At 33.6% G+C, this 16,761-nt stretch overlaps 1 long non-coding RNA gene across 1 annotated transcript in view; it reads left to right on the top strand.

Moving 5' to 3' along the window:
• Positions 1-14,902, top strand: part of LOC124901968 (uncharacterized) — a 58,399-nt gene extending 43,497 nt beyond the window's left edge. The window contains exon 2 of the long non-coding RNA XR_007060983.1: positions 11,136-14,902. This is a non-coding gene — a long non-coding RNA (uncharacterized LOC124901968). The remainder of the gene's footprint in view (positions 1-11,135) is intronic.
• The last annotated feature ends 1,859 nt before the right edge of the window (positions 14,903-16,761 follow it).

Below are 16,761 nucleotides of genomic sequence, written 5' to 3' on the forward strand. Positions count from 1 at the left end.
ATTTTTCCCTTAAAACCAATTCTGCAAGTGTTCAACAGAATTACTGGCTACAAAATTAAATGTATTTCCCATTTTGTGTTATTAGTACTAGTTTTTTTTTTTAAATTTCAGCAGTGTTAAGGTTTTCTATCTATTTCAGTGGCATTTTGTCAATCTTCTTTTATAACATTATTCTCAACTTATGTTAAAATATTAAAAATAATTATTACAAAATGTAGGTCCTTTACTAAACTTCTGACCTGTTTCATATTGCCACCAGTGTCTTGTTTTAATGATTCTTGAGTACTACTCTTTCTCAGATAGAAAATTCTTATTTCTAATATTTTCCGACAATATTATAAAACAAATTGATCTTAAATTCATCTTAAAATATAATTCAGATCATCATGACAAATTAATTTTTCAAACATATAGCAAGTAAGCCAACTATATCAAATAGAAAAAAATTCTAAATTTCAAAATTTGTAGATATGTAACTATAAATACAATAACTGTGAAGTGACAGCATCAAAACTCAGTAATTGATTTCTAAAAAAAAATTTGCAAGAATATTGCAAGAATTAAGCCCTAACCACATTAGGGCAAAATATTGCCAACATTTGTTAATGTATTTAAAAATATGCACATATCTGTAAAACTACATTTTCAATGCCAATGTTATTTCTTGGTAGGTAATAGGAAAGGACTCTCAGAAAGTAGGCAGACAAGATTGTGGTGGGATAAGAAAATGGCATTGGCTCAAAAGTTATAGAGGACAAAAAAGTAAATTTTAAAAAATAGCAGCAAGGAGAACTATAATAAAACCTTATTGCTCCTTCTTGGTCAGTTTTGAGTAAGTTGGAAGTTAATGATCTGAAGATTTGCCTTTGACTAGAGTGACCAAATAAATATTGTCCAAACTGCAACAGTTTTGAGAGAGAAAAGAGTCTCTGTTAATCACAACAGGACAATAAGTGCAGGCACAGACTGTCCCAATCAAATCAGGAGTATGGTGAGCAGACTACCAAAGATAAACGAACAAGTTCTGGAGATACTGTTAAAAAATAGAACTATTAAGGTGGGCTAGACACTGTATGAGGCCAACTCAAGTATATCCTGAGATTTATGAACTCCAATCTGAATATATACATATATGTATATATAAGAAAAAAATAATTGATCATATATATACATATATATAAAAACATTATATATATACATATATATGTATATATAAGGAAGGTTTATTCCTTTTCCACAGTTTAACAATTTTACTGTTTTAAACTAGAATATATCCACAGATTTTAGTTAAATGAAAAGTGATTTCTAGGCATTTCCTTCCTATTTCCATTGAACCCTTCTTTCTCTCCACAATAACTGTCAAATAAGAAACTGAAGAGGAAAGTATGGCTGAAATAAATACTGAGAGTTTTGACCTACTGATATTGTAATAAGAGAAGCAACAAATTCATAGATAAAACTGCAAAGAAGACTGTGACTTATGAGGAATCCTGAATCTGTAAAGTGGGTAGTAAGTCATTTCTGATCAAAGAGTATAATGGGATAAACTAATAGGTTTAATGATAAGATTAATTTTTATTATTATTAATGGCTAACACAGAAACAGCACCTAGTATATAGCAGGCAGTCCTCTAAACATGCCACATATACAGCCATGTATCACTTAATGATGAAGATACTTTCTGAAAAATGCATCCTTAGGCAATTTTGTTGCTGTGGGAACATCATAGAATGCATTTACCTAAACCTACCTTGGTAAAGCCTACTACACTGAGGCTATATGGTATAGTCTATTGCTCCTAGGCTGCAAACCTGGACAGCATGTTACTGTACTGAATAATGTAATGACAGCTATAATGTCAATAAGCAATAGGAATTTTTCATCTCCATTTCAATCTTAACAGACCACTGTCGTGTATGTGGTCAGATATTGACAAAAATGTCGTTATGTGGCACATGACTGTACAACTATTTTAAACCTCATTTCAACCTTACGAAGTAGATATAACCATTAAAGCCATTTGACAGATGAAGAAACTGAAGTACAATATAGTTTGTAATTTGCTAAAGGTCAAACAACAAGTAAGAATTCAATCTGGTCAAGTGAAAGTCATCCCAGGGATGCAAAGATGGTTCAACATACACAAATAAATACATGTGATACTTCATATCAGTAGAATGAATGACAAAAAACAGGATCATTTCAATAGATGCCAAAAAAAGCATTTGATAAAATTCAACATCCTTCAGGAAAAATACTCTCAAAAATGGGTATAGAACCTCAATATAATAAAAGCCGTATGTGACAAAAGCATAACTAGTTCCATATTTAATGGGGAAAGATGGAAAGTCTTTTCCCTAAGATCTTTATCAAGTTAAGGGTGTCCACTTTTGTCACTTTAACTCAACATAGTACTAACAGTCCTAAGCAGAGCAATTAAACAAGAGAAACAAAAAATGGAAAAAAAGTCAAATTACTAAATTGGAAAAAGAAAGTCAAATTACTCTTATTTGCAGATGATATAATCTTTTATTTTAATGACTCCACTAAAAAACTATTAGACCTGATAAACAAATCCAATAAACTTGCCGAATACAAAATCAACATACAAAAACCAGTAGCTCTTCTATGTGCCAACAGTAGACAATCTGAAAAATAATCTCAATTACATTAGCTAAAAATACCTGGGAAAAAAAAACCTAACCAAAGAAGTGAAAGATATCTACGGTGAAAACTATAAAACAATGATGAAAGAAATTGAAGGAGATACACAAAAATAGTAAGATATTCCATATTCATGGATTGGAAGATCAGTACTATTAAAATATCCATACTATCTAAAGCAATCTATGGATTCAAAGCAATTCCTATCAAAATACCAATGAAATTTTTCACACAAGTGGAAAAAACAATCCTAAAATGTATGTGGAACCACAAAAGTTCCAGAATAACCATAGCCATTCTGAGTAAAAAGAACAAGTCATGTAAAAACAGTAACTTGTATAAAGTGCAACTCAAAGAAATCAAAGAGAAAATTACAAAAATACAAAAATGTGACTAAAGAACTCATGTGAAAGAAAAAATTGGACAGTAAAAGCATGTTAATAATATGCCAGAGGATGAGGCAATTGGAAGATTTAATGTGTAGTTATAATTCAAATAGGAATAAAAAATTCTAAAAAAGTATTATTTTTATGGACAAAAATCATTCATCACATTCCAAAGTAAATCAATTAAAAGAAATCTTCATCTATGTACATATTGGCATTGTCTGTTAAAACTTACAAATCACAATAGATAAAACAACATGCTTAAAATACAATGTGATAAAACATGAGATTAATGAAAATTACCTAAAAATCCAGTATGTTTCTTTTAATCAATGTGATAAACATTCTTAATGTTACGTAGAAATTAAAACTGCAACTAATCATTATAAACAAATAAGCAAATAAGAAGCTATGTATAGAAATACATTAGAAAACAGGAAATCAAGAGAAAGGACTAAAAACTAGTTCCACCTCTGCTTCTTAAATGCACGCACACACACACACACACACACACACACACACACACACACAGAGAGAGATTCAAGACAATGTATTCAAAAGAAAAATGAAAAAAGGCCAAACTATATAAATTATACATAAGGAAGGCAATATATTCTCCGATATGGAAAAGATTTTAAATGAATAAAAAGATTGAAATTAGTATGTATTCCAATATAGTTGACATTCTCCATGAAGTAAATGTGTTTCTATAAATGGTAATCAAATTTCTTCAGAAGAACAGGCCAACAAAAATAGAAAAAAAATAAATTTTCTTTAAGAAAAGCCATGGGATTAGGTGATTTAAAGGTAATTTTTTAGCAAGTCATTCCAAGAAGTTAGTTATCATGCTATGTTAGCTGTACCTTAGTATGAAAAATGTTGACTTATCAATTCAATACAAAAGATACTGCTGGGTATGGTGGCTCACACCTATAATCTCAGCACTTTGGGAGGTCCAGGCAGTAGGATCACTTCAGCTCAGGAGTTTGAGACCAGCCTGGGCAACCTAGCCAGATCCTGGTTCTACATAAAAATTAGCCAGGTGCATTGGCATGCATTTCTGGTCCTAGCTACTCAAGAGGCTGAGGTGGGAGGATCACTTGAGCCTGGAAGATCAAGGCTGCAGTGAGCTACAATTACACTGCTGCACTCCAGCCTGGGCAACAGAGCAAGACCCTGTCTCATAAAAGAGAAAGGTACCCAACCTCACCAAGTACAAGAAATGGTAGTATGTATTAGTATTATTTCCAAAATAAATACAGAAACAGTAAAATAAAATGTGGGTAAACTGATTTTGACTTTATATTCAACAGTGATACAACATGACTTTTTGGACTCCCATGATTATTTGATGCTAGTAAATCTAACTTGTAAATAAGTTCAATATATTAATACAGAAACATAATCATTTGGATCCAGGACAAAATATATTTTTGATATCAGAAATATTACTGGATTCAAGGGAATATAGTTTTAGATTTTTAAAACAACTAAATATTTCTGTAAAAATGCATATTCACTGAAAAATAATTTATACGTTTAATATGATTCCAATCAAAATTGTCAAATATTTGTGGGAATCTAGCAAAATAATTATCAGAGTCATCTGAAAAAGTGCATCTGGAATTACACACCCCTCAAAAAGTGGGATGTATAGATATCCTTGTTAGTTGACTACTGCAGCTCAAAATTTTACCAAAGACTTAGCAACTTAATACAAAACAACTTTATTCTCTCACAGCTTGTTTGTTCAGGATTCTGGGCAGGACCTAGGAGAATCCTCCTCAGGGTCTTGAAATCAAGTTGTCAGCCAGACTACCTTTTCATCTAGAGGCTTGACTGGGAAAGAATCCACTTCCAAGCTCATTTAGGTTTTTGACATAATTAATTGCTTTTTATTTTATTTTATTTTAATTTTTTGAAATGATATCTTGTTCTGTCGCTTAGGCTGGAGTGCAGTGGCATGATCTTGGCTCACTGAAAACTTCGCCTTCAGGGTTCCAGCGATTCCCCTGCCTCAGCCTCCTGAGTAGGTGGTGTTACAGGTGCCAGTCATCACAACTAGCTAATTTTTGTATTTTTATTACAGTCGGGGTTTTGCTATGTTGGCGAGGCTGGTCTCGAACTCCTGACCTCAAGTGATTTGCCCGCCCCGGCCTCTGAAAGTGCTAGGATTACAAGCGTGAGCCACCGCACCAGGGCTTAATTCTCTTTTAATTGTATGACTGAAGTACCCAGCTTCTTACTGACTATCAGATGGAGTCCACTCTCTGGCTGTAGAGACACCCACAACTTTCTGCCATATGGCCAGTCAAGGTCAGCAGAAGAATGTGACTCTCCAGTCTAAAGCTAAGACAAAGTTATATATAGTATAACATAAGTGAGTGCTATTCCTTGCCATGTAAAGTAATGTAATCAAGGAATTGTCATCCCACTACTTCAGCCATATTCTATTGGTTAAAAGTAAGTCACAGGTTCTACCCACATTCAAGGGGAGGGAATTATACAAGGCCATAACTTATTGTGAGTCAGCTTTGGGAATGTCTGCCACAGTGTGTACACTAATAGATATCACTAGGTCACAGTATTTAAAACAATATAGGCAAAAGCATAACTGCATTTAAACAAAATATAAAGAATAGCAATGGACTGTATGTGTGTAGTACAATTTAAGATATACTAAAAATAGCATTTAGGATAGAATGCAGCTGAAAGAAAACATGGTTGTATAAATAATGGATCTTTGAGTTACATAACAGATAGGGGGGGAAATACGAAATAAATTTTTAATTGTTTCTATTGTATTATGAAGATTTTAAATATACCTGGGCAAGAGTTTCTTGGACTAGATCCATTGGCCTCATATATGGAGAATTTTCTCAGAATGTGGTAATAGGTTAGCTTTCCATCACAGTTTCCAGCATTGTATTGGGTGAGTGAATCTGTATGTGTGTGTGTGAGTGCACATACATACGTATTTTAATGGAAATTGCTAATGATTGTATTAGTGCACCAAGCCAATACAGATTTCTGATTACAAGAATTTTGTACCTTATTCCATTACAGTGATGGTATATATAGAAATCAAAAATTTGAAGAGCCAAAATTACTGTGGGCATTGTCAATATTGGAATGGAAGTGAATTCAATACAGATTATAGAAGCAAATATGTTTTTCTCTGTTCTGTTAAAAATAAAAAAGAAAGAAAAAGAAAAACAAGACCTCTTCTAGTAGACAACTAACTTGCTGCTAACATAAGTTGAGCCAGGCAGGTGGCTTGTGTCCATGAATCCTATTTACTTGAAAGGCTGAAGCAGGAAGATGGCTTGAACCAGGAGTTCAAGGCTGCAATGATCTATGATCATAGCACCACATTGCAGCCTGGGTGACAGACAGAGATCTCACCTCTTAAAAGAATATATTGATAAGTTGTAGTGAAGGGATAAATTAAGACAACAACAACGAAAATCATAGAAAGAATAATTTAAATGGCAGAATAAAAATTATGTTTTAGTAATCTTTTTAAATCTAAAATTGATTTTTTCCTTAGCCATCTTATTTGCCTGTCTCAGAAATGGTCATTTTTTCTATAAATAAATCACATAGACATTATAATAATCAGCTATCTCTTGATTTCTGAAAATCATGATAAAATTAGCAAAATTATAGAAAATTAACATTTTCACAAACACTGATAGCTCTCTAGAAGATAAAATTTCTAAATGAAACAGGAACAAATGATAAAAAAGATTTTAAGACAATAAAAATGATCTGACAAAAAGATATTAATGTAATAATATGGAAAGCAAGCTTTACAACTTAAAAAATATAAAGTAAGTAGAGAAACAAGTTTTAGAAAAAGCAGGGGGTGGAAAGAGGAAGAAAATATTTTTTTCTGGATTATAAAAAATTATTTCCACAGAATTTTTATTCAATTGTTATATTTTCATCAAAAGTAAAAAGGTTTCTCATCTGTTTTTTAAAGGATACATTCGACTTGTATCTCCAGTGCAGTCCTTCTAGGTTATGCAACCTAAGTTCTCAAAGTCAAAAATAAGTTTTTTTAGAGAACTAAAAGTTTCCAAATGTAAAAGCTAAGATCACTATTTGGAACAGATTATGGTTTAATTTTACACAAAGTAAAATATGATTTAATTTTAAAAAAATGCATAAGATTCAAAAGTCCATCTCAGTCATGAAACATAAAAAGCACCACCACCACCAACCCATAAATAAAATACATAGGCCGGGCACGGTGGCTCATGCCTGTAATCTGAGCACTTGGGGAGGCCGAGGCAGACAGATCACCTGAGGTAAGGAGTTCAAGACCAGCTTGGCCAACACGGTGAAACCCCATCTCTACTAAAAATACAATCCCAGCTACTCGGGGGGCTTAGGCAGGGAGAATTGCTTGAACCTGGGAGACGGAGGTTGCAGTGAGTCGAGATCATGCCACTGCACTCCAGCCTGGGTGACAGAGCGAGGCTCCATCTCAAAAATAAATAAATAAATAAATAAAATACATAAATAACTATAAAAGATATTTGGAAGGAATTCAAACATGTCTTTTTTTTGGAAATATCGAATTGTTACTACATTTATGTCTATTAAAATGTATATTTAACAGGAAAAAAATCACTGGATATTTTCCCAGAAGCTTCAATTTTGTGAAGAGGAGATACTGTTTTTTTTTCAGCGTTAATATTTCAAACTTAAAAAATACAAAGCAAGGTTTCAAAAGGTCAACTTTCTGGTAACTACAAGTCTTCAGATTGTGAGTTCAAAAGCAATACTGAATTTCAAAGAGAAAATTTTTTTTTCCTTTCTTAACTCCAGATTCAAGAACATGACAACTTAAAAGTCAATCTTAAAAGTCATTGTAAAGAACACCTGGCAGTGAAATGGAAAGTGCTCACTTGCTCAGTTGTACCTAGCCAAAACGAGCAACACATACCTGTATAAAACATTCATGCATGGAGACACAGCTAGTACTAATCCATCTGTTGTTGAAAAATATATAAATGAAGTCAAAGAAGATGAAATAAACAATCCGAATATCCCTCTGAAGGAACTTCTCCGCTCAACGTTCTGTGGCAGCTGGTCTAATATGATTCAACTGGTCTTCTGTTTATGTTTCTTACATTCTAATTTTGTTTTGTTTTGTCCATTTTTCCCTGTGAAACATGACATATTTTTCAGAAGACTTCTATGTTGTTTACAAATATGATGTCAGTGTGATTAAAATTTCAGTAGATGGAAAAAGCAAACTAAAGCATTCTTTAAATTAAAATTAAATAGTTTTTCCATAAATATTTCTAAAGAAGGAAGAAAAATCTTATGAGGTACACTGTCTGTTTTAATAACGTGTAATCTGCTAGTTAAACATCAAAGAATAAAATCTGATAGAATGATTTATGGCTATGCAATAAAAATGTACAAGTCATTACTGGCAAATTATCAGGATAGCTTAACACACTTGGCAATTTTAATGAAGCCTACATAATTCCTGTCTTATTTATTTATATTTTAATAATCTGTGCTTTTATGTAATCATTGTTGCCATAATAAAACAACATGCATGCAGAAGTGATGGCAGTTAGATACATAGACCAAGATTCAGAATTGAGCATTGACTTTATCCAGATATTTGAAGTTATCTATCACACATAACAGATAAGTTTTGAGTAACTAATTCATCAGATGTGTAGGAAATTTTACTCCTGAAATGGAGTTACCATTGAAATATGCTCAGGTCTCTAATGTATGTTTCATTTATTTAATTAATTCAACACATATTTATTATGTGACTACTAAGTGTATGCTAACACTGGGGAATATTATTTTGAAACATTCTCGCTCCTTGTTGAATTTACAGTTTAATGGAGGAGGATAACAAATTTTAGTTCAATGTTATAATGTACATAAGATTCAAAATTGCACCTCTTTTTGTGTATAGAAAGGGCTTAAGGGTGTTAGTAATCAGTAAGATCAATATGAGTAATAAATATGATGAGCTATTCATACAGAACCAAAATTCACTAAGGAGTTGCTAATAACAGAGCAGTTTCCAGAACAAGAAAAGCAATAAAATGACTTTTCCTGACATTGATCCCACTGCTCTTTAATTATCACATCCTATTATATGTAAAACGTTGGAGAGTGACCACAATACAGAAGCAACATGGAAGTTATGTTATGTGAATTTTCTCGTGACTTAGTGAACCAAATCTATTTAACGTTTTTTCTATATTCAGGCATTTATATGGTCTCCAATTTTTCAAATTCAATAAACATTCTTCATTTTATAAAATTTTTTCATTTTTTTTTAGGTTTCAGGGTACATATGCAGGATGTGCTGGTTTATTACATAGGTAGATGTGTGCCATTGTGGTTTACTGCACCTATCAACCCATCACCTAGGTATTAATCCCAGCATCCGTTAGCTCTTTTCCCTAATGTTCTCCCCTCTAGCAACAGGCCCCAGTAAGTGTTCTTCCTCTCCGTGTGTCCATGTACTACATTTATTGTACTTACCATGCTATTTTCTTACAATAAAAAGCTAAATTTGAAATTTTTAGGTTAAAGAGAATATATTTGGATAATTTTGATGCATATGGTTGGATTTCTTCAAAAATGCTATGTTTGAGCTGGGTGCAATGGCTCACACCTATAATCCCAACACTTTGGGAGGCCAAAGCAGGCAGATCACTTGAGCTCAAGGGTTCAAGACCAGCCTGGTCAATATGGTGAAACCCCATCTCTACTAAAAACACATAAATTAGCTGGGCATAGTGGCGGGAGCCTGTAGTCCCAGCTACTCAGGAGGCTGAGGCAAAAGAATCACTTGAACCCCGGAGGCAGAGGTTGCAGTGAGCTGAGATCACACCACTGCACTCCAGCCTGGATGACAGATCAAGACTCCATCTCAAAAATAAAATAAAGTGGTATGTTTCGGTCATACTGATCATATGTGGAAAAGAATATATTTTAGTGAAAACTCTGTAACTGTACTTTCCAGTAAGGTAGTAATTATCCTTAGAGGGCTATTCAAATTTTAATTAAAAAAAATAAAATTGAATTTTAGTTTCTTAGTTACTTTAGTCATATGTCAACTGCTCAATAACCATATATGTCTGATGGCTTTCATACATGATATTAAAGATATGAAAGCATTTCCATCATATAGAAATTTCTGCTGGACATCATCACTTTGTAATATACTTTTGTCAATATTTTTAGCCCTTTTCTATCTACTGTACTAAAGTACTTTTTTGTTTAACATTTTTTAATGAGGTTGAACACGTGTGTGTTTTTCTTTTACATTTCAAGAAATTTTTACATATCATAGATATGAACTTATGTCTTTTAAATATCAGTCATTTTATTTATTTTCCATACAGAGATTGTTGCTGTTCTTGCTTGATATAGAAGGTAGTTGTAGAGGGGGATGTTTAACAATGAAAATATAATAAAACCTTCTTTTATTCTGAGTTTGTGTTCCTATCAAACTCTCTCAAAAACAAAAATTATAAAAATTATTTTTAAAAAGTATGTCTTTGGTAGAGACCTGGGAATAATTCATGTTACACATGAGGTAGGGGATATAACTTTTATATTTACATATGGCAAATCACCTGTCCATATATTTATTGACTAATTTCTCCTTATTGTATTATTTTGAAAAACTTCCCAATATAATTCCCTAAAATTTCAACTATATCCAGGTTCTTTTCTAGACATACATATTTAGTTACATTGGCTAGTCTACTTTTGTACCTTGCTGACTAGTGTTAAATAATATGTTTTAAAATATGTTTCAAAAATTTAAAAAGCTAATCCTCATCTATTATTCTTTGTCTTAAATGTTCTAGGTATTTTCACATAACTCTTTGTAGGTGATATCAGAAGTGATTTAAACTGGTTTCATTTTTGAACTTAAAATTAAAAATGTAACTGGTTGATATAATGTACATATAGTCTTAAATTTTATTTTTATTTCAATTTAATAATATAATGTTTAGACTATTTTATTTTATCAAGAAGTTACATTGCATGTCTCTATATTTATTCTTTTCTCTTCCTAGGTAAAATTGTATATATAGTCTTTTCACGCAAATCTTACACGTAAGAAAAACTATTCCCAGCAGATGACATGATTGTATATTTAGAAAATCCCAACGTCTCAGCCCAAAATCTCCTTAAGCTGGTAAGCAACTTCAGCAAAGTCTCAGGATACAAAATCAATGTGCAAAAATCTCAAGCATTCCTATACACGAATAACAGACAATCAGAGAGCAAAATCATGAGTGAACCACTCACGATTGCTACAAAGAGAATAAAATACCTAGGAATACAACTTACAAGGGATGTGAAGAACCTCTTCAAGGAGAACTACAAACCACTGCTCAAGGAAATAACAGAGGACACAAACAAATGGAAGAACATTCCATGCTCATGAATAGGAAGAATCAAAATCGTGCAAATGGCCATACTGCCCAAAGTAATTTATAGACTCAATTCTATCCCCATCAAGCGACCATTGACTTTCGTCACAGAATTGGAAAAAACTACTTTAAATTTCATATGGAACCAAATAAGAGCCCATATAGCCAATACAAACCTAAGCAAAAAGAACAAAGCTGGGGGCATCATGCTACCTGACTTCAAACTATACTGCAAGGCTACAGTAACCAAAACAGCATGGTACTGTTACCAAAACAGATATGTAGACCAATGGAACAGAACAGAGCCCTCAGAAATAATGCCACACATCTACAACCATCTGATCTTTGACAAACCTGACAAAAACAAGCAATAGGGAAAGGAGTCCCTGTTTAATAAATGGTGTTGGGAAAACTGGCTGGCCATATTCAGAAAACTAAAACTGGACCCCTCCCTTACACCTTATACAAAAATTAAATCAAGATGAATTAAAGATTTGAACATAAGACCTAAAACCATAAAAACTTTAGAAGAAAACCTAGGCAATGCCATTCAGGACATAGGCATGGACAAAGACTTCATGACTACAACACCAAAAGCAATGGCAATAAAAGGCAAAATTGACAAACGGAATCTAATTAAACTAAAGAGCTTCTGCACAGCAAAAGAAACTATCAACAGAGTGAACAGGCAACCTACATAATGGGAGGAAATCTTTGCAATCTATCCATCTGACAAAGTGCCAATATCCAGAATCTACAACGAACTTAAACAAATGTACAAGAAAAAAACAACCCCATCAAAAACTGGGTGACAGATATGAATAGGCACTTCTCAAAAGAAGACAGTTATGTGGCCAATAAATATGAAAAAAAAAAGCTCATCATCACTGGTCATTAGAGAAACGTAAATCAAAACCACAATGAAATATCATCTCACGCCAATTAGAATGGCAATCATTAAAAAGTCAGGAAAGAGATGCTGGAAAGGGTGTGGAGAAATAGGGAGGCTTTTACACTGTTGGTGAGAGTGTAAATTAGTTCAACCATTGTGGAAGACAGTGTGGCAATTCCTCAAGGATCTAGAACCAGAAATACCATTTGACCCAGCAATCCCATTACTGGCTATATACCCAAAAGATTATAAATCATTCTAGTATAAAGACACATGCACATGTATGTTTATTGCAGCACTATTCACAATAGCAGACTTGGAACCAATGTAAATGCTCATCAGTGATAGACTGGATAAAGAAAATGTAGCAAATATACACCATGGAATACTATGCAGCTATAAAAATGACGAATTCATGTCCTTTACAGGAACATGGATGAAGATGGAAGGCATAATTCTCAGCAACCCAAACAAGAACAGAAAACCAAACACCTCATGTTCTCACTCATAACTGGGTGTTGAACAATGAGAACACATGGACACAGAGAGGGAAATGTCATGCACTGGGGCCTGTCAGGGGGTGGGGAGCTAGAGGAGGGATAGCATTAGGAGAAATACCTAATGTAGATGACAGTTTGATGGGTGCACGAAACAACCGTGGCACATGTATACCTATGAAACAAACCTGCAGGTTCTACACATGTATCTTGAAACTTAAAGTATAATTTTAGAAAATTCCAGCTATATAATTATCATTCCTGTTTAAAAATGAGCATTTTAATTTTATTTTCTAAGCAATTATTGGTGATTTTTAAAGAATCTTGATGTTTCTATATTAATCTTGAAACTGACCAGGACCCAGACCTATTTTGTTAATTTTAATAGTTTTACTTTAATAGTCCTGGATTTTTAGTACACATGATCATTATCTCTGCAAATAATGATACTAGCTAGAGAGAGAAAAAAATCTCATTAACATCATCTTTGGTGAAGATGTGTGTGGTTCCTTTGTGCTTTGACTCCTCCATTATGCAATTAGTCCTAATAGATCATCTTGTCAGTGGTATGCACTTGTTTCCAGACTTAACCCCTCTAGGAAGTATTTTCCCACGTAGGAGTAAATTGTTTGTATTTTTAAGAACCTGGTTTAGAGGGAGAAAATGGCAAGAAGTAATCCTGTTTTATCTTAGAGCTATTGAACTATTAAATGCTGCTTATTTATGGCAGGGGAAGGAATATTCCACTTATTCTATGGTCTACCCATGCATCCATCATCAATCCTTCCAAAACAGGTAATGGTGATGGAATATGCCAAACTGTCTTTAATTTCCTTCCTGAAAAAGCGAAATACTTTCCCAGAAAGAGAAATCGTGTATCAGTTTCAAGTGTCTTCATCAAATTACCTACAGCATTTTGTATCTGGCAAAATTTACTTGAGGCTGTGATTTGCTCCCGTTTCATTTTGCACTTCACTGCTGATGAATTCTTCGTTTTGTGTTTACTTTTATTTTCTTATCTCTTTCCTCTTTTTTTTTTTCTAGATTTATTGGGTGTCTTTGATCAGATTCTGTTTCATCCCCTGTAACTGTAGAGTTTGGGTATTTACCTATGTGTTACAGCTACTCCTCCCCTAATTAGGCTGTAAAGCTCTATGTAATTCCCAGCTAACCTCCAGCACCATCTTAGTGTTTCCAAAGGTTTTTACAGTTAAACACTGTTGTGAAACTAAAGGGGGAAATAAATGTGAAGTTATTCAGGTTTCAGAATGGTATAAAAATTTTACAGGAATTATGACTTTAGTACTTCCAACCATGTTGATAAGATGGCATCTTGAAACCAACATGAGATCTTCAGCCTTAGATTCTTCTGACTTAATTGACATTCTGTCTACCTCATCCCAGAAGTAAGCTTGTTCTCTTTTCCACTTCCTGAAGAATTTTATCCCAGCTGAAAGGCATTCTGGAATGGAAAGGGCAAATAATAATAATAATAACAATAAGCCTCAACTCCAGGAAAGTTCTGACTTTTAGGATTTCCAGCACAATCACCACCACCACCACGACCACCACCACCACCACACATTACCTTATAGAAGAGATTTTCATCTTCCTTGTAATTCCTAAAAGAATCACTGGTCCCAAAGGCTAGAGATGCTGGGGAGGGGCTGCCTGTTTCACTCACGCAGCAGCTTCCGCCTCCCCCATCCTGGGCGCCCATCCTCCAGCTTAGGTGTCAGCTGTCCATCACCTCTACCCCCACTGTCTCATTTGTGCTTTTTTTCTCTCGTAATAGAAAAGTGGGGAGCCGCTGGGGAGCCACCCCATTCATCCCCATATTTCCCCCTCTCATAACTTCTCCCCATCCCAGGAGGACTTCTCAGGCCTGGCGTGGGGCTCCGGGTGGGTTCGGGGGCGATTCAACCTGTGTGCTGGGAAGGACGAGACTTCCTCTTGAACAGTGGGCTGTTGTAAAGATATTTGAGAAGTTTTACTAATAAAGTTTTATTTAAAAAGAATCAGTGGTATCCAGCCACGCACATTCCAAAGGGTAAACACATATGCACCAAGAAGATTTTCTTGCGTTAATATTTCCAAAATAATGTGTCTGGAATTCCGGTTGATATTAGCATCTTTATAAGAAACTAGATAATTGTAATATCACTGTGTACTAGAAGCTGTGATAAAAAGTGATGCAGAATAATGTGACAATTGATTACTGAATACACATATAGTATTTCTCAATATTCATTTTTTATCTCAATATTCATTCATTTTAAAATGAATATTCATTTTTCTCAATATTCATTTTATTGCAAAGTATCAAGATGTGGTTAGATTCATATTATTCTGAAAACACTGATGAGCTCATCTTTTTCATGTCTACATAGAGGCCAAATTGACCAGGTTCATGACCAGTACAAACATTTCAGCTATTTTAGCAGTCAGTACCAATCACTCTAGCTAAATTGGTCTGTCCATGATTAATATCAATTGCTAAGCTGAAAAGTTTATGTGAATGCTTAGGCTGCAGTCAAGTGGTCATGTGAGTTAGGTAAACATCAGTGGGGTAATATTATCGATAATATGTTATCTGTTTTCCCATTATAATCTTTATTGGATTAAGAGTCTAACATATATTAATAGCTTGATTTTTTAATTAGAAAAAAATTAAAAATGTTTTAACATTATTTAAAACAGTATATTTATGTTGATCTCTTCCCTTCCTCCATACTTCCCACATAAAAAAGAGAATGGATGCATTCAATTCATATCAACAACATTTATAATGCCACTTACAGCTGTGCCTTAGGCCCAGAGGAGAACTTGGGAAAAGAAAGTATTTTATTTGTTAAGTGTGAAAAAAGCGTTTTGGTGTTCCTTTTATATTCTACATGTTCATTATTCTTATTACCTATGATTTCTCAATATTTGAATGTAACCAACATTGTGATTTTCCTATAAACAAATTATTATTTTTCTTTATAGTTCATCACATTTTACCCAACATTAACAATCTATCGTGCTGTTAACTGACGTGAATGTCTCTAAATAGATTCATTGGTATTTGTTCTTATTTTAACACATTTTATTTAATATAAATAATATTTTTTAAACATTTCCAATTATTTACAGAGTTTAAGGAAAATGATTGAAGCACTGTTAAATACCTAGCAGCAACACTTTGTGTTCTTCAGGTTTTGTCTGGGTGTCATATCCTGGTCAACAGCCCCAAAGTATTTCTTGGAGGTAGAAAAAAAATGGAGATCTGATAAACAGCAAAACTGAAGGGCAGATTGCAAGCAAGGACCCAGGTTTCTATCAGCGTTGACTTTTGAACAAAACACGATCGTTTAGGAAGTCTGCTTCTGTTTATGTACTGAAAATATCTGTTCTATATTCTATAGTGATCACTGGTCAATTTAAAGTTAACACACGCACGCACACACACAACATATGTATTCGGTCCATCATATGGATAAGATAATTTGAATACAGATTTGCAGTCCATAATGAAAAGAGAGACTTGAAATTTTAAATTCTGAAGTTATAAGAAAGATCATATACTTCCTGAGTTCTATAAATTCACCAAGCTTTATGGATGAGTTGAAATCATCCATAAAGGCCCTGAAATAGACTTCCTGTATGCGTCCCTCCACTCTTCACTCCTCAATATGCGGGCAGGAGCCATTAAAGAAATGACATCTGCCCAAGGAAAATACATTTTGTTCATAATCTCCTCCAAGTTTCAGAAGGTAAATTCTTTGAAATCTTTGTAATTATGGCATATTGATTTATGTGTTCATGAAGATATCAAATGTATTGATTTGAGTTTCCTTGTAAAATTATAAAAGACTAATAAAGCCATTCTACAAAC

This window comes from Homo sapiens, chromosome 8 (genome assembly GCF_000001405.40).
Source record: "Homo sapiens chromosome 8, GRCh38.p14 Primary Assembly".
Lineage (NCBI taxonomy): Eukaryota > Metazoa > Chordata > Mammalia > Primates > Hominidae > Homo > Homo sapiens.